The sequence below is a fragment of the Homo sapiens genome, chromosome 20 (genome assembly GCF_000001405.40).
Source record: "Homo sapiens chromosome 20, GRCh38.p14 Primary Assembly".
Taxonomy (NCBI): domain Eukaryota; kingdom Metazoa; phylum Chordata; class Mammalia; order Primates; family Hominidae; genus Homo; species Homo sapiens.
In genome coordinates this window covers 3843353-3865641 of record NC_000020.11, presented here as the reverse complement: position 1 = coordinate 3865641, position 22289 = coordinate 3843353, and the positions used below count along the sequence as shown (strand labels likewise).

The 22289-nt window shown below is 52.8% G+C and overlaps 1 protein-coding gene across 4 annotated transcripts in view, besides 7 other annotated features; it reads right to left on the bottom strand.

Annotated features, from left to right (window-relative positions):
• Positions 1-18808, bottom strand: part of MAVS (mitochondrial antiviral signaling protein) — a 29285-nt gene extending 10477 nt beyond the window's left edge. Inside the window, exons 1-7 of one of the 4 annotated variants that reach the window (NM_001385663.1) lie at positions 18739-18808; positions 10901-11084; positions 7833-8007; positions 6700-6823; positions 4138-4310; positions 3229-3388; positions 854-1386 (exon numbers count right to left, since the gene is read on the bottom strand). In NM_001385663.1, the coding sequence (NP_001372592.1) occupies positions 854-1386; positions 3229-3388; positions 4138-4179 (735 nt within the window). In that variant the 5' untranslated portion in view covers positions 4180-4310; positions 6700-6823; positions 7833-8007; positions 10901-11084; positions 18739-18808. The remainder of the gene's footprint in view (positions 1-853; positions 1387-3228; positions 3389-4137; positions 4311-6699; positions 6824-7832; positions 8008-10900; positions 11085-18738) is intronic. The other 3 variants (NM_020746.5, NR_037921.2, NM_001206491.2) reach the window with 3 other exon arrangements.
• Positions 7471-7970: an enhancer, noted in NCBI's record as "H3K4me1 hESC enhancer chr20:3838319-3838818 (GRCh37/hg19 assembly coordinates)". NCBI's record gives its function as "activates a minimal SCP1, AML or CMV promoter by ChIP-STARR-seq in primed H9 embryonic stem cells {active_cell/tissue: H9 hESC(primed)}" and the evidence as "EXISTENCE:reporter gene assay evidence [ECO:0000049][PMID:30033119]".
• Positions 14297-14798: an enhancer, noted in NCBI's record as "H3K27ac hESC enhancer chr20:3831491-3831992 (GRCh37/hg19 assembly coordinates)". NCBI's record gives its function as "activates a minimal SCP1, AML or CMV promoter by ChIP-STARR-seq in primed H9 embryonic stem cells {active_cell/tissue: H9 hESC(primed)}" and the evidence as "EXISTENCE:reporter gene assay evidence [ECO:0000049][PMID:30033119]".
• Positions 18532-18911: a silencer, noted in NCBI's record as "silent region_12633". NCBI's record gives its function as "represses an Ori minimal core promoter by ATAC-STARR-seq in GM12878 lymphoblastoid cells {active_cell/tissue: GM12878}" and the evidence as "EXISTENCE:reporter gene assay evidence [ECO:0000049][PMID:35858748]".
• Positions 19342-19391: a silencer, noted in NCBI's record as "silent region_12632". NCBI's record gives its function as "represses an Ori minimal core promoter by ATAC-STARR-seq in GM12878 lymphoblastoid cells {active_cell/tissue: GM12878}" and the evidence as "EXISTENCE:reporter gene assay evidence [ECO:0000049][PMID:35858748]".
• Positions 20753-20892: an enhancer, noted in NCBI's record as "active region_17487". NCBI's record gives its function as "activates an Ori minimal core promoter by ATAC-STARR-seq in GM12878 lymphoblastoid cells {active_cell/tissue: GM12878}" and the evidence as "EXISTENCE:reporter gene assay evidence [ECO:0000049][PMID:35858748]".
• Positions 21881-22025: an enhancer, noted in NCBI's record as "145 bp enhancer 155/156 fragment used in the MPRA reporter construct; PK_construct_3514". NCBI's record gives its function as "activates an SV40 promoter by MPRA in HepG2 and K562 cells {active_cell/tissue: HepG2 | K562}" and the evidence as "EXISTENCE:reporter gene assay evidence [ECO:0000049][PMID:23512712]".
• Positions 21948-21958: a transcriptional cis regulatory region, noted in NCBI's record as "NFE2L2 motif; enhancer activity is reduced when this motif is scrambled". NCBI's record gives its function as "necessary for full MPRA enhancer 155/156 activity {active_cell/tissue: HepG2 | K562}" and the evidence as "EXISTENCE:site-directed mutagenesis evidence [ECO:0005528][PMID:23512712]".

Below are 22289 nucleotides of genomic sequence, written 5' to 3'. Positions count from 1 at the left end.
AGGGAGACGAACCTGGTAGGGCGGTCCCATTCCCAGGCCAGGGCATGAACTAACACTCCAACCCCTCAATTCCCAATCTATAATGCCCCTAGGCCACCTTTTCTTGGAGCAGTGGGGGTAGAGGGGACCAAGAATCTGCACCAATGGTGGCCTCCTCCAGGGCAGCCTTTCCCTACTCCCTGGCCTGCCTGTGAGCTCATGCCCACCTGGAAGCCTTTGGTAGGGCGGGGCTCCATCCTGCACTGACATCCTGCCTGGGCCTGAGAACTAGAGAGCAGCCACAGGGTCAGAGGCCTGGCCATGTGCCCAAAGGGCCCTATGGACTTGGCTCTTCCCAGCAGACAGCCGCAGCTAGGGTTAGATGTGAGGCTTGGAGCAGGCAACAATGGGGGGCTGCTGGGTCCGAGTGGCTGCTCCAGGTGGGACTGCGTTCTGTAAAGCCTGGCCATGGAGGGACACACCAGGCATCCTGGTGAAGAGCAAGGCAAGAGGCAGATGGGCCACTGTGCTGTCCCCGTCACTGCTTCCTTATGTGCAAAACGGCACCGCTCGGCTTCACTAGGAACTACGAGCCCTAAATGAACTTATACACCTGACCAGTGGGTGCCCCCTGTGGCTGACCCTCCTGAGGTGTCCAGACTTAGAAGCTCAATGACTGTTCCTCCTGGAGAACATGGTGTGGGGCCTGCATGAGGCTGGTTCTCAACTGTCTGTATGCCCTCAAGGAGAGGCCACAGAGCAGCACAGGCTGGACACAGAATGCAGACTGGGAAGGGGCCAAGGCCAGGGCCAGGTGGGCAAGCTGTCCCGGGGGAAGGGGCCAGGATCCCTGCCAGGAAGGGCGAGGACTCACCTCATTTCTGCTGCTCCCGTCAGTGGGGACTGTGCTGGCAGACACCTTGGTGAGCACCATGCTAGTAGGCACTTTGGATGGCACCATGCCAGCACGGGTTGAGTTGATGGGCAATTTGGATGGTGCTGGATTGGTGAGCGCATTAGAAGGCACTGCACCAGGGGGCTTTGAGCTAGTTGGCAACTTGGAGGGCACTGTGCTGACAGATGCTGGGTTGGCAGGCACTTTCAGGGCCACTGTGTTCACAGGCATCAAGGTGGTAGGCACTTTGGAGGGCAGAGAGTTGGCAGGTGCCTCTGCCCCACTGGAGCAGATGATAGGCTCGGCCTGGTCACTCTCTGCACCCTGTTTACCCTCTGCAGCCCCTGCAGAGGCCAAGCCAGGGGATGAGGAGGAGAAGGAGGTGCCAGTAGATACAACTGACCCTGTGGGTCCAGGCAAGCGGCTTGCCCTGGGGGTGGAACGGGCCAGGGGCTGGAAGGAGACAGATGGAGACACAGGCCCACGGGATGGTGTGAGGCTGGAGGTCGCACCTGCCGGTGGAAAAACACAAGTGGAAACACAGACCCAAAGACCATTACCTTGAGGCCTGGAGAAGGGTCCCTCTGGCCCAGATCTCATGGTCCCTACTGTGTCTAGGCCTCCAAATCTCCTGCCCTTGGAGGAGATGCCACAGTCCCTTTGGTCACTGCTTCCTGGCCTGAAAGCCCAACAGCTGCCCTCAGTCCTTGACCTGTAGCCCCAGGTCTGTCCTGGCACACAGTGAAATGGTACCTAGGAGCCTGAAGACCATTATTAATTATTCTCTCCGCTTTTTCCTCTCCCACCTGGGAAACCTCCCCTCTCCTGTGTCTACCTTTTCTACTTTGACCTTAGCCTCATGCAATCCTGGACACTTCCCCCACTGCTGTCCCTCTCCTACCACCATGAGTGGGAGCAGCCATGGATCAGGGCAAGGGGTGGCAGGATGGCTCATGCAGAACAGCTCACACCAGCCGAGAGGCCTGGCCATCCCGGAGGCTTGGGAAGAGAGGGGACAAGGACAAAGCCACCCCTGGGAGGCTGCCTGACCTGGGTGGGGGAAGCAGAGGATAGCAGGTGGTGATGGTCTGTAAAGGCAGTTGCAGCAGGACTCTCCACGGAACTCGGAATGCACATGCCAAGCCCCACAGCTGGCAAAAGTCAGGGTGATTCTGATGTACAGCTCCCCCACCACAATCTAATACCACAGAATCTCATGGGACCTGTGTCTACAAACGTACTGAAACCTAAGCGCCCTCTGCCTCTGTGGTCTACAGCAACTCCTGAAAGGCATCCCGTGGCCAGGTGACACTGCAAAGCAGACAGGTGCTTGGAGCAGTTTGGGGATGACAAAAGTACTAAGATGACGTCTCCCAGCCTCTAACTGCTCATGTGTCTTGTGGCTGTCCCAGGGCACTGAGGGCTGACTGGGCACCAGCGTCATGTGGAATAGTTTGGGAAGTAGGAAAGAGACATGCTGGCCTGAGAGGTCCAGATGGACAACTATATATTTCTGAGGGGGAGCACTGACATCTGGAGTTGAGTCCAGGCCACTGGATGATGAAGACCTTACTTCCTCTGGGGACTGAGAAGTTTTCATGATTCACTGGGAACTGGAGATCTCTGCGGTAAGACAGTGCCTAAAGGTTCCCCTGCCAACAGCTGATGCAGCCCTTCACTGTCCCTCTCCCACTGCCCTATAGGCCCTGGCTGTTCCCTACAGTCCCTTTGGCAGAGCGCAAAAATGGCCCTACTTATCTCGCTCATCTCCACCCAGCCCCACTGCACTGTGCCTGTCAGTCCTCCCGTCTAGGGAGGGAGTCTATTTCCCTACTCCTTGAATCTAGGCTGGCCTTATAACTTGCTTTTGCCCACAGAATGGAGCACAGGGGACACTGTGCCAGTTTTGAGCCCTCTCTGAGAACTCTGCCCAGCTGCCATGATGGGTTTGTGTGCTGGAGGATGAGAGACTACATAGAAGAGAACCAAGGTGCTCAGCAAACAGCCAGAGGCAGAACTTATGTATATACCGGTGAGTACTTGAGAGGAAATTCAGCCAAGACCAGAAGAAATGCCCATGTAGGTAGCCCAAATGCCTGACCCACAGGATCATATGCTAAATAAATGGCTGTATTTTAAGCTACTAAAAAAAAAATTTGGAAAACTGGAGTGGACTATTTGTTACACAGCAAATGCTAACTGATACACCCACTAAGGAACTGGTTTGCTTCCTGGGTTGAACTCCCTTTATTCCCACCTTGTCTCCTGTTCAAGGAAGCCAGATGGGGCAACTCTAATTCTTACCCTCACTTGAGAGATCAGAAGGACCCTATAATTCCAGATTCCATGCATACCTGCTGTGTGGGTACTGCCCAGTTCTGTGTCCTGCTCCTGATGCCCGCTGGAGGTCAGAGGGCTGAGGGCTGCCAGGTCAGAGGAGGACTCCAGGGGGCCACCATCTGGATTCCTTGGGATGGCTCTGGGGCTGAGCGTCTGCAGGGCTTGCTCTGAATTCTGCAATGAGGGAAAATATGAATAAGGCAGTTGCCTCTCCCAAGAGCTCACAAAGGGCAGCTTGTGCTCTTGGGGCATCTCCTATAGGCCTCAGCCCACACCATGGAGCACAGGAGCCAGGGGAGCCCTTGCCTGGGTTCTGGTAATTCCCAGACCCTCTGTCCACAGGTGTCCTTACGTCTACCTCACAGAAAACACACAGCATTGCCAGGTGCGGTGGCTCACGCCTGTAATCCCAGCACTTTGGGAGGCAAAGGTGGGCAGATCACCTGAGGTCAGGAGTTCGAGACCAGCCTGGCTGACACGGCAAAACCCCATCTCTACTAAAAATACAAAAATTAGCTGGGCGTGGTGGTGGGTGCCTGTAATCCCAGCTACTCAGGAGGCTGAGGCAGGAGAATGACCTGAACCCAGGAGGCAGAGGTTGCAGTGAGCCAAGATCACTCCACTGCACTCCAGCCTGGGTGACAGAATGAGACACTGTCACACACACACACACACACACACACAAAACTGTGGTCTCCCAGCTGGTTGCTGACAGAGGATTAGGGCTGCCACAGGGTGAAGACCTGGTCAGCAGCCTGGAAGCTGGTCTGGGGCAGATCCCCACTGAGGAAGCCCTAGGGTTCTGAGCAGAGATTAGGCGTGATTTATAGGGGACGGGAGAGGGTTTCTGGAAGGCTCAATGGGCAGAAGTGGGCAGATAGGAACACAAAAGTGGTGGCTCAAGGTAGACTATGAGGACAGACCTCTCCTGGGGACTCTGGCGCCTGGGTCTCCTGGACAGGCATGGGGTAACTTGGCTCCTTCTCTCTGCAGCTGTTGTAGGGGATGCTGTGGGCCGCAGCAGGTGTGGGGGGCCCTGGCCTCTCAGCAGGAAGTGACGGTGGCTCCAGTGGGTCTGGGGGACGGTCCGAGGTCCCTAGAGGACAAAGATGTAGTGATATCAAGAAGGAATCAGGGCTGGGCACAGTGGCTCATGCCTGTAATCTCAGCACTTTGGGAGGCCAAGGCAGGCAGATCACGAGGTCAGATCGAGACCACCCTGGCTAACACAGTGAAACCCCATCTCTACTAAAAATACAACATTATTATTAGCCGGGCATGGTGGCGGGCCCCTGTAGTCCCAGCTACTCAGGAGGCTGAGGCAGGAGAATGGCGTGAACCCGGGAGGCGGAGCTTGCAGTAAGCCAAGATCGCGCCACTGCACTCCAGCCTGGGCGACAGAGCGAGACTCCGTCTAAAAAAAAAAAGAAAGAAAAAAAAAGAAGGAATCAGGGGCTGGGCACGATGGCTCATGCCTGTAATCCCAGGATTTGGGGAGGCCAAGGCAGGTGGATTAGGAGGTCAGGAGTTCAAGACCAGCCTGGCCAACATAGTGAAACCCCGTCTCTACTAAAAATACAAAAATTAGCCAGGCGTGCTGGCAAGCACCTGTAATCCCAGCTACTCAGGAGGCTGAGGCAGAAGAATTGCTTGAACCTGGGAGACGGAGGTTGCAGTGAGCTGAGATCGCGCCACTGCACTCCAGCCTGGGCAACAGAGCAAGACTCCGTCTCGGGGGAAAAAAAGAAAAAGAAGCCAGACGTGGTGGCTCACGCCTGTAATCCCAGCACTTTGGGAGGCCGAAGTGGGTGGATCACCTGAGGTCGTGAGTTCGAGACCAGCCTGACCAACATGGAGAAACCCTGTCTCTACTAAAAATAACAAAATTAGCCAGGCGTGGAGGCGCATGCCTGTAATCCCAGCTACTCGAGAGGCTGAGGCAGGAGAATTGCTTGAACCTGGGAAGTGAAGGTTGCCATGACCTGAGATTGCACCATTGCACTCCAGCCTGGGCAACAAGAGCGAGACTCCGTCTCAAAAAAAAAAAAAAAAAATAGAAGGAATCAGGGACTATAGGGAGGCTGAGGAAGGAGAACCACTTGAACCCGGGAGGCAGAGGTTGTGGTGAGCCGAAGTCATGCCACTGCACTCCAGCCTGGGCGACTGAGCAAGACTCTGTCTCAAAAAAAAAGGAATTGGGGGTTCTCCTCATGATTAAAGAGGCTTGGGTGCTCTTGGGTACACCCCCCGCCCCACCCATAGGTCCAAAAGCTGTTCTGATGTGGGCCCACTCCTCAAGAGTGACAAGCAGGGCTGGGCTTGGTGGCTCACGCCTGTAATCCCAGCACTTTGGGAGGCCGAGGCGGGTGGATCACGAGGTCAGGAGATCGAGACCATCCTGGCTAACACGGTGAAACCCCATCTCTACTAAAAAATACAAAAAGTTAGCCGGGCATGGTTGCAGGCGCCTGTAGTCCCAGCTACTCGGGAGGCTGAGGCAGGAGAATGGCGTGAACCCGGGAGGCGGAGCTTGCAGTGAGCTGAGATGGCACCACTGCACTCCAGCCTGGGCGACAGAGCGAAACTCCATTTCAAAAAAAAAAGGAGTGACAAGCATCACTTGGCAAGGGGGCAGGAGTGGGAGGGTGAGAGCAGATGGAGGACAAGGTAGCAAGGGAGGAAGGGGAGTATGGGGGGGCCTCGTGGGTCTCTAGTCACCCACGCCGTGTCAGCAGTCACTCTTCTCTGTCCCCAGGCATCCTAGGACCCAGTGGCTTTCTCCTCCACATGACTATCATTGCTCACTGACCCCTGCCCTGATGCTGCCACCTGAGCCCCTCCCCTTTGCCCCCACCCCTCATCAGGCCCTACCACAGCCATTGTATTCAGGGGATCACTATTTTTGGGTTTTTTTTTTTTGGAGACGGAGTCTCACTCTGTCATCCAGGCTGGAGTGCAGTGGCGCAATCTCGGCTCACTGCAACCTCCACCTCCCCGGTTCAAGCAATTCTCCTGCCTCAGCCTCCCAAGTAGCTGGGATTACAGGCTTGCACCACCATGCGCAGCTAATTTTTTTGTATTTTTGGTACAGACAGGGTTTCACCATATTGGCCAGGCTGGTCTCGAACTCCTGACCTTGTGATCCGCCCGCCTCGGCCTCCCAAAGTGCTGGGATTACAGGCGTGAGCCACCGTGCCCAGCCAGGGATCACTATTAATCTCCACACATGAAGAGACATATTTAAAAAGAAGGAAGGAAAAAAAGGAAGGAAGAGAGGAAGGGAGGGAGGGAGGGAGGAAAAGCAAGGAAGGGAAAAAGGAGAGAAAAGCAAGCATGAGAGCCAGACGCGGTGGCTCACACCTATGATCCCAGCACTCTGGGAGGCCGATCGCTTCAGCCCAGGAGTTTGAGACCAGCCTGGGCAACATAGTGAGATGTCATCTCTACAAAAAATTTAAAAATTAGCCAGGTGTAGTTGTCCATGCCTGTAGTCCCAGCTACTCTGGAGGCTGAGGTAGAAGGATCACTTGAGTCCAGGAGGTCAAGGCTGCAGTGAGCTATGATTGCACCACTGCACTGCAGCCTGGGTGGCGCAGCAAGACTCTGTCTCTAAAAGGAAAAAAAAAAAAGAGAGAGAAAGAAAAGAAAAACATGGATGTCCCACAGCTATAAATGTGACCAGGGTCTCGGGGGTTACCTCTAGTTTGAAATATAAATAGGGCTGGCTTGATTTTTTTTCCCATGTCTTTTTTTTTTTTTTTTTGAGATGGAATCCCACTCTGTCGCCCAGGCTGGAGTGCAGTGGCGCGATCTCAGCTCACTGCAACCTCTGCCTCCCTGGTTCAAGTGATTCTCCTGCCTCGGCCTCCTGAGTAGCTGGGACAACATGCCCGGCTAATTTTCTGTATTTTTAGTAGAGACGGGGTTTCACTGTTTTAGCCAGGGTGGTCTCCATCTCCTGACCTCATGATCCGCCTGCCTCGGCCTCCCAAAGTGCTGGGATTACAGGTGTGAAACACCGCGCCCAGCCTCCTCCCATGTCTTGATCTCACTCAGGATCAAACTCAATCTCATCAAATCGCCTCCGAGCACTCAGAGTGGCAGGGACACTGAGAGGGACTTAAAGAATAACTGGGCAGCTGATAGAGGGCGTCGAAGGCTCTCAGGGTAAACCAGGGGAGGGGAAGAGAAGGAGGAGAGAGGGAGGGTGAATGAGTAGGTGGGGGAGAAGAAATGAGGAAGGGTGGGAGGCGAATGCTACAGCCGTGAAAGTTAGGGGAGACTCCATGTGCTGGGCATACAGGAAGTGCCCAGCCCAGCTCAATACTCAACACGCATCGTCCCGCAGTATCACCCACTGCAGCTCCCCGCGGCAGATGCTGCCATGAGCTTCATTTTACAGAAGAGAGGCCTGAGGCTCAGGGAAATTAAGGGACTTGGCCAAAGGGACACAGCTGGTAAGTGGCTCAGCCTGGATCTACACCCAGGTTTATTCATCGCTTCACAGTGACAAGAAAGAGGATGACAGAGAAAGGCAGGAAGTACAGGGAGAGAGAAAAGGAGAGCGGAGGCCAGGGAGCAGGCTGGGGGTCCAGGAGGGCAAGGGCAGGACGCTCACGAGGCTGGTAGCTCTGGTAGACAGAGGCCACTTCGTCCGCGAGATCAACTAGCTCACAGCCCCTCAGTGCCGCAATGAAGTACTCCACCCAGCCGGGCCGCCGCTGAAGGGTATTGAAGAGATGCCAGAGGGTGTCCCGGTTCCCTGAGAGTGTGCAGGTGGCCCGCAGTCGATCCTGGAAGACACAATGCCACTGTCCTGCTCAAGCCAGGTGGCCCCTGCCACTTCCCCACCCAGAATGAAGCCACAGCGGGGGGAGGGGTGCCAAGAAAGCCACAAGGGCAAGGCAGCCACGTGAAACTGGATCGGAGCCCAGGACAGGGCCAGGTATGGAGTGAGGAAGAGCAATTAGCAGCCACATCAATAAAGGCAGCTGCCGGAAACTGGCAATTAACTATGTCCTGGGCTCTCCATTAAGGGCTTTGCATGTATCATCTTTATTTAATGCCATTATTATCTCCACTTTACTAATGAGGAAACTGAGGCTTAGCAGAAGCAAAGTACTGTAGCAAAGATCCTAAAACAGTGGGGCAGGAATCCAAACCCAGTTAATCTGATACAAAAGCCTTGGATTAATATGGCCCCCAGGGCAAAAAGAAAGGTTTGGATTAGGAGAGAAGGAAAAGGTAGATAGCAAAAGTATGATGAAAGGGGCAAAAGACGGAAAGAGAGGGGGCCGACAATAACAAACAAGGAAGCTGAGAATGCTGGGGAGATTGTGGGCAGATGACAGTGGCTGCAGAGTTTTTTTGTTTCTTTTTTTTTTTTTTTTTTCAGACGGAGTCCCACTCCGTCGCCCAGGCTGGAGTGCAGTGCCGTGATATCAGCTTACTGCAACCTCTGCCTCCTGAGTTCAAGCGATTCTCCTGCCTCAGCCTCCCGAGTAGCTGGGATTACAGGAGCCCACCACCACACCCGGCTAATTTTTTTGTATTTTTAGTAGAGACATGGTTTCGCCATGTTGGCCAGGCTGGTCTCGAACTCCTGACCTCAGGTGATCCACCCGCCTTGGCCTCCCAAAGCGCTGGGATTACAGGCGTGAGCCACCGTGCCCAGCCCTAGAGTTTTTATGTCTACCTGAATTCTCACATAAAAACAAGCAACCAGACAGCAGAAACAAAAACCCACAGAATCCTGCAGGAGCTAGATTTTTAGAAAAAGGAAAATAGCCAGGTGCGGTAGCTCACACCCGTAATCCCAGCACTTTGGAAGGCCGAGGATCACAAGGTCAGGAGTTCAAGACCAGCCTGACCAACATGGTGAAAGTCCGTCTCTACTAAAAACACAAAAATTAGCCGGGTGTGGTAGCATATACCTGTAATCCCAGCTACTCAGGAGGCTGAAGCAGGAGAATTGCTTGAACCCAGGAGGCAGAGGTTGACCCAAGATGGCACCACTGCAACTCCAGCCTGGAAGACACAGCGAGACTCCATCTCAAAAAAAAAAAAAAAAAAAATGCTGGGCGCAGTGGCTCACGCCTGTAATCCCAGCACTTTGGGAGGCCGAGGCGGGTGGATCATGAGGTCAGGAGATCGAGACAATCCTGGCTAACACAGTGAAACCCCGTCTCTATTAAAAATACAAAAAATTAGCCGGGCATGGTGGCAGGCGCCTGTAGTCCCATCTACTCAAGAGGCTGAGGCAGGAGAATGGCGTGAACCCAGGAGGCAGAGCTTGCAGTGAGCCGAGATCACACCACTGCACTCCAGCCTGGGCGACAGAGTGAGACTCCGTCTCAAAAAAAAAAAAAAATCGTGCCACTGCACTCCAGCCTGAGTGACAGAGCAAGACTCTGTCTCAAAAATAAAAATAAAGACCAGCCTGGCCAACATGGTGAAACTCCATCTCTACTACAAATACAAAATCAGCCAGGTGTGGTGGCATGCGCCTGTAACCCCAGCTACTCAGGAGGCTGAGGCGCGAGAATCACTTGAACCCAGGAGGCAGAGGTTGCAGTGAGCTGAGATCATGCCATTGCACTGCAGCCTGGGCAACACAGCGAGACTCCGTCTCAAAAAAAAATTTTTTAAAGAAAATAAAGAAAACCCACAGAAAATATTTACTATAAAACAAGATATCCCTATAAACCCCAAAATACAAGAGGGAGGAGCAAACTCCAAACAGACCTGCATACTAATGCGATCTGTGTGGGAGGACAGCGGAGACAACAATGGGGCTCCTGAGAAATCTGAGGACAGGAGGCCCCAAAAGAGCCAACAGGTACCCTCTGGAGCACAGGGGTCCAATCTGAGAACAGCAGCTACAACGGGGAGGGGTTGTGCCCGTTTCACCAGCTAGTGAGTGCCAGGGGCCTGCAGCAAGTTCTGTTGGGGCTAGAGCGACCCTGATCCTGCCAGCTCTCAAACCTGAGTCCCAGCTCCGTGCCAGGACAGGGCCCCATGACAAGGAGAATGGAATCAAAACTGAGCAGGACAAGGAAGGGCAAGAGAGATGAAGGAAATAGGAGGTTCCAAAAAAAGTGGGCAAGTGGACCAGAGCCAGGAAATCTCAGAGAGCCAGCGCCATATTTTTGAGCAGTGCACAAAAGCAACACAAGGGGGAGCTCGGCGAAGTCAGCAACGCCACCCTGAGCCACACTCCATCCAAAAGTTAGAAAAGCAGCAAGGGTGCGGTGGCTCACGCCTGTAATCCCAGCACTTTGGGAGGCCGAGGCAGGCGGATCACAAGGTCAAGAGATCAAGACCATCCTGGCCAACATGGTGAAACCCCGTCTCTATTAAAAACAAAAAAATTAGCTGGGCGTGGTGGCACGCACCTGTAATCCCAGCTACTCAGGAGGCTGAGGCAGGAGAATCACTTGAACCCAGGAGGCGGAGGTTGCAATGAGCCAAGATCGTGCCACTGCACTCCAGCCTGGCGACAGAACGAGACTCAATCTCAAAAAAAAAAAAAAAAAAGAAAAGCAGCAAGGACAAGGAGCAAGACACAGCAAGAGGAAGAAGGAAGGAGCCAGCCCAGGCTTGGGTGAGGAACTAGGATGGGGCTGAGCTTTGAATTCCACAGCCCTGCCCCCAGGCCAGTGTCGGGCTGTCACTTCCCTTGCTCACCTGGTCTCTTGCTGTGAGGCAGGGCAGGTAAGGCAGAATCTCTACAACATCCACATTGCAAAAATTGCTGAAATTGCGGCAGATATACTTATAGGTCTTGTCTTCAGCAAACGGCATTGCTGCTCAGATTCTGGAGAGAGGGCTCTGGCCCCATGAAGGGTGGATGGACTGAGAGGAAACGAGACTGGAAGAAAACAGATCACACATTACAACAGGGTTGGGGGGTTGGGAGTGGGGCTGGACAAAAGGCAATTCTTTCTCAACTTTTTGGAATGTTTGTTTTCTTTCATCTTTAATTTCTTCTTTTTTTTTTTTTTGAGAGCGAGTCTCACTTTGTCACCCAGGCTGGAGTGCAGTGGGGCAATCTCGGCTCACTGCAACCTCCGCCTCCTGGGTTCAATTGAGTCTCTTGCCTCAGCCTCCCTTCTGAGTAGCTGGGATTACAGGTGCGCACCACCATGCCCAGCTAATTTTTGTATTTTTAGTAGAGATGGGGTTTCACCATGTTGGCAAGCTGGTCACAGACTCCTGACCTCAAGTGGTCCACCCGCCTCGGCCTCCCAAGTTTGGGGATTACAGGTGTGAGCCACCACACCTGGCCGTTTTTGTTTTGTTTTATTTTGTTTTTAAGAGATGGGGTCTCGGGCTGGGCACAGTGGTTCACGCCTATAATCCCAGCACTTTGGGAGGCCAATTTGGGGGATTAACTGAGGTCGGGAGTTGGAGACCAGACTGACCAACATGGAGAAAATCCCGTCTCTACTAAAAATACAAAAAAAAAAAAAAAATAGCTGGGCATGGTGGCGCATGCCTGTAATCCCAGCTACTCGGGAGGTTGAGGCAGGAGAATTGCTTGAACCTGGGGGCAGAGGTTGCGGTGAGCCAAGATTGCACCATTGCACTCCAGCCTGGGCAACAAGAGCGAAACTCTGTCTCAAAAACAAACAAACAAACAGATGGGGTCTCTGTCACCCAAGTTGGGTGCAGTGGTGCAATAATAGTTCACTGCAGCCTCGAACTCGTGGGCTCAAGCAATCCTCCCGCCTCAGCATCCCCGGTAGCTGGAACTACAAACCTGCGCCACTATGCCCAGCTAATTTTTTTATTTTTTCTAGAGACAGGGTCTCATGATGCTGCCCAGGCTGGTCTCAAACGCCTGGCCTCAAGCGATCCCCCTGCCTCCGCCTGTCAAGTAGCTCGGATGACAAGCACCAGCCAATGTGTCCAGCCACCTTTAATTTCTTTTTTTTTTTTTTGAGACGGAGTCTTTCTCTGTCGCCCAGGCTGGAGTGCGGTGGCGCGATCTCGGCTCACTGCAAGCTCCGCCTCTCGGGTTCACGCCATTCTCCTGCCTCAGCCTCCTGAGTAGCTGGGACGACAGGCGCCCGCCACCACGCCCGGCTAATTTTTTTGTATTTTAGTAGAGACGGGGTTTCACGGGGTTAGCCAGGATGGTCTCGATTTACTGACCTCGTGATGCGCCCGCCTCGGCCTCCCAAAGTGCTGGGATTACAGGCGTGAGCCACCGCGCCCGGCCGCCATCTTTAATTTCTGTAAACATCCTATTTTATTACTGCCTGAGTCTCTCCAAAATTCCTGCAGAACCCGGGCGCGGTGGCTCACGCCTGTAACCCCAGCACGTTGGGAGGCCGAGGCGGATGGATCACGAGGTCAGGAGTTCAATACCAACTTGGCCAAGATGGTGAAACCCCGTCTCTACTGAAAATACAAAAAAATTAGCCAAGCATGGTGGCGGGCGCCTGCAGTCCCAGCTATTCAGGAAGCTGAGACAGAGAATTGCTTGAACCCAAGAGGCGGAGGTTGTAGTGAGCCGAGATCACGCCACTGCACTCCAGCCTGGGCGGCAGAGTGAGACTCCGTCTCAAAAAAAAAAAAAAAAAAAAAAATTCTGCAGAATTTGCTAAAAATGAATTGATGACCACCAGCTACTCAAGAAGCTAGGGCAGGAGGATCGCTTGAGCCCAGCTGTTCGAGGCCAGCCTGGGCAACACAGCGAGACCCTGTCTCTAAAAAAATAAAAATAAAAATAATTGAAGACCAAAAAGAATCAGATCCAGAATACCTAGGGCCCATTTCTTCTCTGCAGGTTGGTCAGCACTGGGAAGGTCTGCATGTACCCCTAGCACATGCGGTGGGGGGATCTGTATGTGACCCTAGTTTCTGTGCCTATAAATGTCCTGGCTCCCTTCCTGGCTCTAAGGCCCTCAAGCTGATAGCAAGAGGGCTATACCTAAACGTGCTGCTGCTTTGGGACACACTGAAAAAATAAAAAGTGAACCCCAACATGATAATAATCGGATCATCCCGCTTTAAAGAAGAAACTGAGGTATGCTTGCTAGTTAGTAGAAGAAGAAAGAACTGAGATCTTCAGGTCAGCTTCTTTCCATGACATGGCTGCAGGCCCACCATTAAAGCCTGCTACACATAGGCCGGGCACGGTGGCTCACGCCTGTAATCCCAGCACTTTGGGAGGCCGAGGCGGGTGGATCACGAGGTCAGGAGATCAAGACCATCCTGGCTAACACGGTGAAACCCCGTCTCTACTAAAAATACAAAAAATTAGCCCGGCGTACTGGCGGGTGCCTGTAGTCCCAGCTACTCGGGAGGCTGAGGCAGGAGAATGGCGTGAACCTGGGAGGCGGAGCTTGCAGTGAGCCAAGATTGCGCCACTGCACTCCAGCCTGGGCGACAGAGCCAGATTCCGTCTCGGGGGAAAAAAAAAAAAAAAAAGCCTGCTACACATACATTCTTTTTTTCTTTTTTGAGACAGAGTTCCAGACTCTTGTTGCCCAGGCTGGAGTACAATGGCACAATCTCGGCTCATCGCAACCTCTGCCTTCCGGGTTCAAGTGATTCTTCTGCCTCAGCCTCCTGAGTAGCTGGAATTACAGACATGCACCACCACACCTGGTTAATTTTGTATTTTTAGTAGAGACAGGGTTTCTCCATGTTGGTCAGGCTGGTCTTGAACTCCTGACCTCAGATGATCTGCCTGCCTTGGCCTCCCAAAGCGCTGGGATTACAGGCGTGAGCCACCATGCCCGGCCCACATACATTCTTAAGATAGGAGACTGAGTTCCATGCCTTGAACTCACTGTGTGTCCTGGGCAAGTTATCAGTTTCCAGACTTCCTCACCCTTAAAACGGCTCAGATAGCAGCTTGTTTTGACAGTACGGTAATTCAGCCTTATAAACTTTTTTTTTTTTTTTTTTTTTTGAGACAGAGTCTCCCTGTCGCCCAGGCTGGAGTGCAGTGGTGTGATCTCGGCTCACTGCAGCCTCCATCTCCCACATTCAAGCAATTCTCCTGCCTCAGCCTCCCGAGTAGCTGGGATTACACGTGCCCACCATCATGCCTGGCTAATTTGTTTGTTTGTTGTTGTTGTTGTTTTTGAGAAAGAGTCTCGCTCTGTTGCCCAGGCTGGAGTGCAGTGGCGTAATCTCGGTTCACTGCAACCTCTGCTTCTCGGGTTTAAGCAATTCTCCTACCTCAGCCTCCCGAGTAGCTGGGATTACGGGTACACGCCACCATGCCTGGATAATTTTTATATTTTTAGTAGAGACGGGGTTTTATATGTTTTAATGTTGGCCAGGCCGGTCCTGAACTCCTGACCCCAGGTGATCTGCCTGCCTTGGTCTCCCAAGTTGCTAGGATTACAGGCGCCAGCCAACGCGCCTGGCCAATTTTTGTATTTTTTAGTAGAGACAGGGTTTCACCATGTTGGCCAGGCTGGTCTCGAACTCTTGACCTCAAGTGATCCTCTTGCCTTGGCCTGCACAGTGCTGAGCCACTGTGGCCGGCCTCTAAGCTTAAATTTTTTTTTTTTTTTTTTTTGAGACGGAGTTTCGCTCTGTCACCAAAGCTGGAGTGCTGTGGTGCAATCTCGGCTCACTGCAAGCTCCACCTCCTGGGTTCACACCATTCTCCTGCCTCAGCCTCCCGAGTAGCTGGGACCACAGGCGCCCGCCACCACACCCGGCTAATTTTTTGTATTTTTAGTAGAGATAGGGTTTCACCGTGTTAGCCAGGATGGTCTCAATCTCCTGAACTCGTGATCCGCCTGCCTCGGCCTCCCAAAGTGCTGGGATTACAGGCGTGAGCCACTGCGCCTGGCCTTTTTTTTTTTTTTTGAAATGGAGTTCACTCTTTTTGCCCAGGCTGGAGTACAATGGCGCGATCTCGGCTCACTGCAACCTCTGCCTCCTGGGTTCAAGCGATTCTCCTGCCTCAGCCTCCCAAGTAGCTGGGATTACAGGCATGAGCCACCACGCCCCGCTAATTTTGTATTTTTAGTAGAGACAGGGTTTCACCATGTTCCGGTCTCGAACTCCCGACCTCAGGTGATCCGCTCACCTCGGCCTCCCAAAGTGCTGAGATTTACAGGCGTGAGCCACCGCGCCCAGCAGCTTAAAAAAATTTCTTTTTTTTTTTTTTTTTTTTTTTTTGAGACAGTCTCGCTCCTTCACCCAGGCTGGAGTGCAGTGGTGCAATCTCGGCTCACTGCAAGCTCCGCCTCCCGGGTTCACACCATTCTCCTGCCTCAGCCTCCCAAGTAGCTGGGACTACAGGCGCCTGCTACCACGCTCGGCTAATTTTTTGTATTTTTAGTAGAGACAGGTTTCACCGTGTTAGCCAGGATGGTCTCGATCTCCTGACCTCGTGATCTGCCCGCCTCGGCCTCCCAAAGTGCTGGGATTACAGGCATGAGCCACCGCGCCCAGCCAGCTTAAAAATTTTTAAGTGCCTCAAATATAAGCAATTGCTGCCAGTTGTTTATGTAGGAGTTACCACAATTTGCAGTTATAGATGTATTTGCTCGTTACTTTTCTGCCGCCCCCATCAGGGAGTGCTGCAGGGAATAAAAGAGACAAGGTCTATGCCACATCCAATTTATATTCTAATGGGGTGGGACAAATAACAGATCAGTAAATTAATACCCAAATAAGAGTTCCAGATAGCAATAAAGGCTCTAAAGAAAGTAAAGCAGGTAATGAGACAGAGCCCCTGGAGACAGGCATGCTACTTGAACTAGGGGGTCAAAGAAGCCTTTCTGAACTAGCGTGCAGAACACAGCTGAGCTGTTCTCAGGCTCTGAGAAGATTGGTGTTTTAGGCAGAGAGCATGGTAAATGCAAAAGTCCTAAAACAAGAATGAGCTTGGCATGTTTGAAGAATAGAAAGCAGGTCAGTGTGGTCTAGGTCAAGAAAGCTAGGGATGGCTGGCTGCGTGACTCACGCCTATAATCCCAGCACTTTGGGAGGCCTAGGCGGGTGGATCACCTGAGCTCAGGAGGTTGAGACCAGCCTCGCCAACATGGTGAAACCCTTTCTCTACTAAAAATACAAAAATTAGCATGGTGGTGGGCGCCTGTAATCCCAGCTACTCGGGAGGCTGAGGCAGGAGAATCGCTTGAACCCAGGAGGCAGAGGTTGCAGTGAGCTGAAATCATCCCATTGCACTCCAGCCTGGGTGACAAGATCAAAACTCCATCATAGGAAAAAAAAAAAAAAAAGCAAGCAAGCTAGGGAAAGGGGCAGAGATTGTCAAGGTCAAGGAGGTGGCAGGGGCCACTCATGTAGAGTGCTGTAGGAAAGGACTCTGGGTTTTAGTTGGAGTGAAACAGGGAACCACTGGAAGGTTCCGGCAGGGAAAGAAGAGGATCTGATTTACATTAAAGACTTCTCTGGTGGTTGTGAGGACTTTGGAGGGGCCAGGATGAAAACTGGGAGACCAGTAAGGAGGCCACAGCCCAGGAGACAGGATGACTATGGTCAGGATGGGAACCACAGAGATGGCAGGAGGCAGCCAGATTCCTGGTGTTTTGAGGGTGTAGGAGATAAGGGAGAGAAAAGAAGCATGACTCCTTGGGCACTGGGTGGATGGAAGGTGCCCTTTTACCAGGCCAGAGAAGCCAGGGGAGGAGCAGTGGCTCAGAAGGGACTCCAGAACTCAGTTCGGAACAAGTGAAGTTTGAGATGCTATTGGATTCCAAGTGGGTTGTCAGGGAGGGAAGGAGGCAGGAGAGGACCAAGTGGGCATCAGGCAGGCATGAGACCTCTCTCAGGAGGCAGTGCTGTAGAGCAGACAGCACCTAAAAGCTGTTGGGCCACCAGACCTTCCTCACAGGGGAAGCAGTCCTGTCACTGGCCTCAGAGCCTCACATGCATGAGTTGCTTTGCCAGCCAGCAGGCCCTGCTACATTCCTCGTGGGGCAAGTACTAATGACAGGTCAGGAGAATCAGGAAGGTGAGGCGGGGGTCCTCTGAGCCTTCAAGAAATTAGCAAAGAACAACTCTATGGGAGTTAATAGATCCCTTTCTCGGCCGGGCGCGGTGGCTCACGCCTGGAATCCCAGCACTTTGGGAGGCCGAGGCAGGCAGATCACTTGAGGTCAGGAGTTTGAGACCAGCCTGGCCAACATGGTGAAACCCCGTCTCTACTAAAAATGCAAAAATTAGCCAGGCATGGTGGCACACACCTGTAGTCCCAGCTACTCAGGAGGCTGAGGCAGGAGAATCTCTAGACCCAGGAGGCAGAGGTTGCAGTGAGCCAAGATTGGACCACTGCGCTCCAGCCTGGGCAAGAGAGTGAGACTCCATTTCAAAAAAAAAAAGACCCCTTTCTCCTTCCTTTCTCATGGCATCAGCCAGGTACCAGAAGGCAGTCAGATGAGGCACTCTTCTGCATTCCAGCTTCAGCCACAGATGGAGGGGAAGGGATGATGTGGCCCAAACAAAAGGAAAGGAAGCCCACATTTGTTCACATTTATGGAGGGCCCATTGTAGACAGGCACATCCTAAGGTTCTTTCAGTTAATCCTTCCCCAATCCCGTGACAGGGAAAGTGTTGCCAAGGTGCACAGCTGGCCAGAGGCTAGCACAGGATTTGAACCCAAAACCTGCTGCCTCACTGCAACTGGTCATACACCTTGCAGGGCACAGAGACCCCTGCAGCGAGACCCACACAGCCACCTGCCTTCAAGCCCAAAGAGGACCCAAGGTCACTTGGCGGGAGGGAGGCTGAGGGTGCACTTAGGTGGAAGCAACATTTAGTCCAGACATTAACCCTGCTTTCACATGGCTGCCACAGGTCCCAGGTCGCTGGCTGTCCTCCTAGATATTTTTGAGGCTTCACGGCTTCCATACAGAGAATCCCTTTTTCGTGTTTTTGGTTTGTTTCATGTTTTCTTGGCACTTCCTTCCCAACTGAGAAGGAAGTAGGTGACAGAGTGTTCCCAATACAGCAAAGTTTCCGACCTGACTGTCCAGAGGCTCTGAGTGCATCCCGGAAATAAACACCCACCCTTCCCAAAGGGACAGGCCTCACAGCCTTGGATCGGATTCCTGGGCGCGACCCAGGTCCGCGGAGGGCGGGGAGGCCGTTTTGAGCTGGTGTCGCCGCCGAGAACTGTCCAGACCCAGCGGAGGGCGGCAGCACTCGACCTCTAGGCGCACCCGGTCGAGGCTCGGCCCCACCTTAGCGTCACCCTGGGCCCGCGGGCGGCAGGAGGAGGTCAGCGGCCGCTGCCCGTCCCCTTCTGGCCCTACCTTTCCCCCAGCCTGAGCAGACGCCCAGCGCCACCTACCCCCTTTTCCCCGGATGCTGGATGCGGCGCCTGGAGCCCTCAGTGTTCCCGAAACTCTTGCGACAGGGCCCGCTCTTCCGGATCCCCGCGCGTCCTGTCCCCTCCTGGGCCCCCCGCGCACCCCAGACCCAGGGCGTCCCGGCGGACTCCGTCCTGCCGCTGCAGCCACCTTCCCTAAAGGCGTCCGTGCGTGCTGAGCCGAAAGGACCCAACGCCCGGGAAGCGATCTTACCTCGGGTACCCCCGGCCCTGAGACCTGGCGACCGCCGCCCGGGGCCCAGGACCCTTCCCGCAGCGAGGAGGCGGGGCGGGCAGAGCGCGCGGCCATTGGCCATGTGGAGGGGCGGGGCTACTCGGCCGCGCGTGGTTGGCTGGCGACGCAGGCGGCTGCGCAGCGGGGACGGTCACTGGGCCTTGGTTTGCGGGTCGGGAAGCGCTAGACTGGGCTCGGAGAACCGACCTGATTTTTTGCTGGGGGCGCGCAGTCTCGAGCAACTTCCAGGGGAAGTCCGGTGTCCGGCCAGAAACCAGGCAGGTGGCCGGCCTCGGAGTCATCGGGGGGCTGAGAATTCCATCCCCACGCTTCCCAAGTGAAGCAGCCCCTCCTCCCCCTGGGAACTTTGAGGGGTGAGGGTCTTCGTGTCGTTCTCTCCGGCACCCCCATGGCCTGGCATACAGTTAGTGCCCAATAAACGTTGGGTGCCGCTGAAGTCACAGGGGCAAGGATGCCTATCCTGGAGACGTGCACGCTGGGCCTGTGGGAGTGGGAGCGGGCGGGGGACTGCTGGGTAGGTAGGCGCAAGGCAGGGACGCCAAGGTTGGCTGGCGGGCAGGCTGGGTATGGGTTGGGTGCTGCGTGGGAGAGGCCTCTTACGCCCAAGGGCCTGGGACAGGTACCTCCCGCAGTTCCTGCCATCTGCCTCGCCCTTCCCCTTCTGGGGCAGAGGCCAGCACTTACTGAGCACCTACGATCTTCCAGGCACAGGGTCTTCTATTCTTTTTTTTTTTTTTTTTTTTTGAGACAGAGTCATGCTCTGTCGCCCAGGCTGGAGTACAATGGCGCGATCTCGGCTCACTGCAACCTCCACCTCCTGGGTTCAAGCAATTCTCCTGCCTCAGCCTCCCAAGTAGCTGAGATTACAGGCACATGCCACTGCGCCCGGCTAATTTTTGTATTTTTAGTAGAGACGGAGTTTCACCATGTTGGCCAGGCTGGTCTCAAACTCCTGACCTCAGGTGATCCTCCCACCTCGGCCTCCCAAAGTGCTGGGATTACAGGCGTGAGCCACTACGCCCAGCCTCAAGTGAGGTTTTATTACTGTACTTTATATCCCTGTGAATATTTCACAACCTTCAGCATTTACAAAGTATGCTTAATCACACCTGAACTGTAATAAAACCAGCTCTGCCTAGTTTAGCCAAGAGGGCATAAATGTTGATTAGTTCAAGAATCAATCCTGCCTGCTCCCCACCGGAGCAGCTCTAGCAGCTTCATATCTAATTCTTTCAGGAAGAACATTGAAAGTGTAGGAGCGGGCTTCCAAGTGCAGCTATCACTCCTGTCTTTGCTGGACCTCAAAGAGCATTCAAACAATCCCACTGCCTGACTAGGTGGTTCCCTGCCACCTATCAACAGCTTTTATAAAGATTTAGACAAAGAAGAACACAACAACATGCTTATGGTATTCCTATCAAAAGCTCATGATCTGAAACTAATCATAGGGAAACAGTAAGCAAACCCAAAACGAGAGACATTTGACAGCTGTCCTATCCAATACAATGGCTACTAGCCACATGTAGCTATTTTAATTAAAATTAAATAATACTTAGAAGCCAGTTCCTGAGACCCACGAGCCACATTTCTCTTTTTTTTTTTTTTTTTTTTTTTTGAAACAGAATCTCACTCTTTCACCCAGGCTGGAGTGCAGTGGCCCAATCTCGGCTCACTGCAACCTCCGCCTCCCGGGTTCAAGTGATTCTCCTGCCTCAGCCTCACGAGTAGCTGGGACTACAGGCGCATGTCACCACGCCCGGCCAATTTTTGTATTTTTAGTAGAGACGAGGTTTCACCATATGGGCCAGGCAGGTCTCAAACTCCTGACCTCAAGTGATCCACCCACCTTGGCCTCCCAAAGTGCTGGGATTACAGGCGTGAGCCACTGCACCTGGCCCATGAGCCACATTTCAAATGCTATTTTCATGTAGCTAATGGCTTCATACTCGGTGACACAGAGCATTTCTATTTTTTTTGTTTGTTTTGTTTTGAGACAGAGTTTCACTCTTGTTGTTGAGGTTGGAGTACAATGGCGTGATCTCGGCTCACCACAACCTCTGCCTCCCAGGTTCAAGCGATTCTCCTGCCTCAGCCTCCCGAGTAGCTGGGATTATAGGCATGCACCACCATGCCCAGCTAATTTTGCATTTTTAGTAGACACGGGGTTTCTCCACCTTGGCCAGGTTGGTCTCAAACTCCCGACCTCAGGTGATCTGCCTGCCTCAGCCTCCCAAAGTTCTGGGATTACAGGTGTGAGCCACAGCGTCAGGCCCAAACAGAGCATTTCTATCATCACTGAAAGTTCTATTGGATAGCACTGCTCTGCAGAATAACTCTTCAAAAATTTCAAGGTCAGGAAAAACAAGGAGACTGAGAGACTGCTCCAGAGAAAAGGACACCAAAGTGACATGACAACTGAATGCAATATGGGAACCTGGGTTGGATCCTGAAACAGAAAAAGGACTTCAGGTGAAATCCAAATAAGGCTTTTGGATCAGTTAACAATAATCTAGCTGGGCATGGTGGCTCACGCCTCTAATTCCAGCACTTTGGGACGCCGAGGTGGGTGGATCACCTGAGGTCAGGAGTTTGAAACCAGCCTGGACAACATGGTGAAACCCTGTCTCTACTAAAAATACAAAAATCAGCCAGGCATGGTGGTGGGCACCTGCAATCCCAGCTACTCAGGAGGCTGAGGTAGGAGAATCGCTTGAACCCGGGAGGCAGAGGCGGCAGTGAGCCGAGATCGCACCATTGCACTCCAGCTTGGGCAACAACAGTGAAACTCTGTCTCAAATTAACAACAACAACAACAATCTGTCAGTGTTAGGATCATTGTACTGGGTTATGTAAGATGTAAACATTTGCATTATTTTTGCAACTATGTTGTAAATCTGAAATTATTTCAAAAATATAAAGTAAAATAAATCATCTTTTGACCCTATCTGGCTATTTATATTATCTTTTATTTCTTATTGCATCCCACCCTATTTCATGGGTGTAATTCATTGATCACTGTCCATTTATTAGGAGAAGAGCAAGTCCAGAGAGTGATCTATGCTCTAGGCTGCCCCCAGTGAGGGCCTTGGAGCTGCCCCCTGCCCAGTAAAGTTCAGCACAGACAGGCCCATCTCCAGGCCTCCGAGGGAGGCTGTGACCCACCCATGATGACTCAGCACCCACCAGCTCACGTCACCCCCTGGAGAGCAGAGGTCAGGCGCAAAGACAGTGCCAGAGGGCTCCAAACTCGGTTATGTTCTCCGGTCTGAGCCCTTGAGGGAACTATGACTAAAAAACATAATCCCCTCCTTTATGACTTCATTTTGAATAGTATTTTAAACAGTTATTCTTTATGTTTTATTTATTTATTTTTAAAATAAAACAGACACAGTCTTGCTACATTGCTCTGGTTGGTCTTGAACTCCTGGGCTCAAGCAATCCTTCCATCTAAGCCTCCGAAGTAGCTAGGACCACAGGCACACTCCACTGCACTTAAACAGATATTCTTT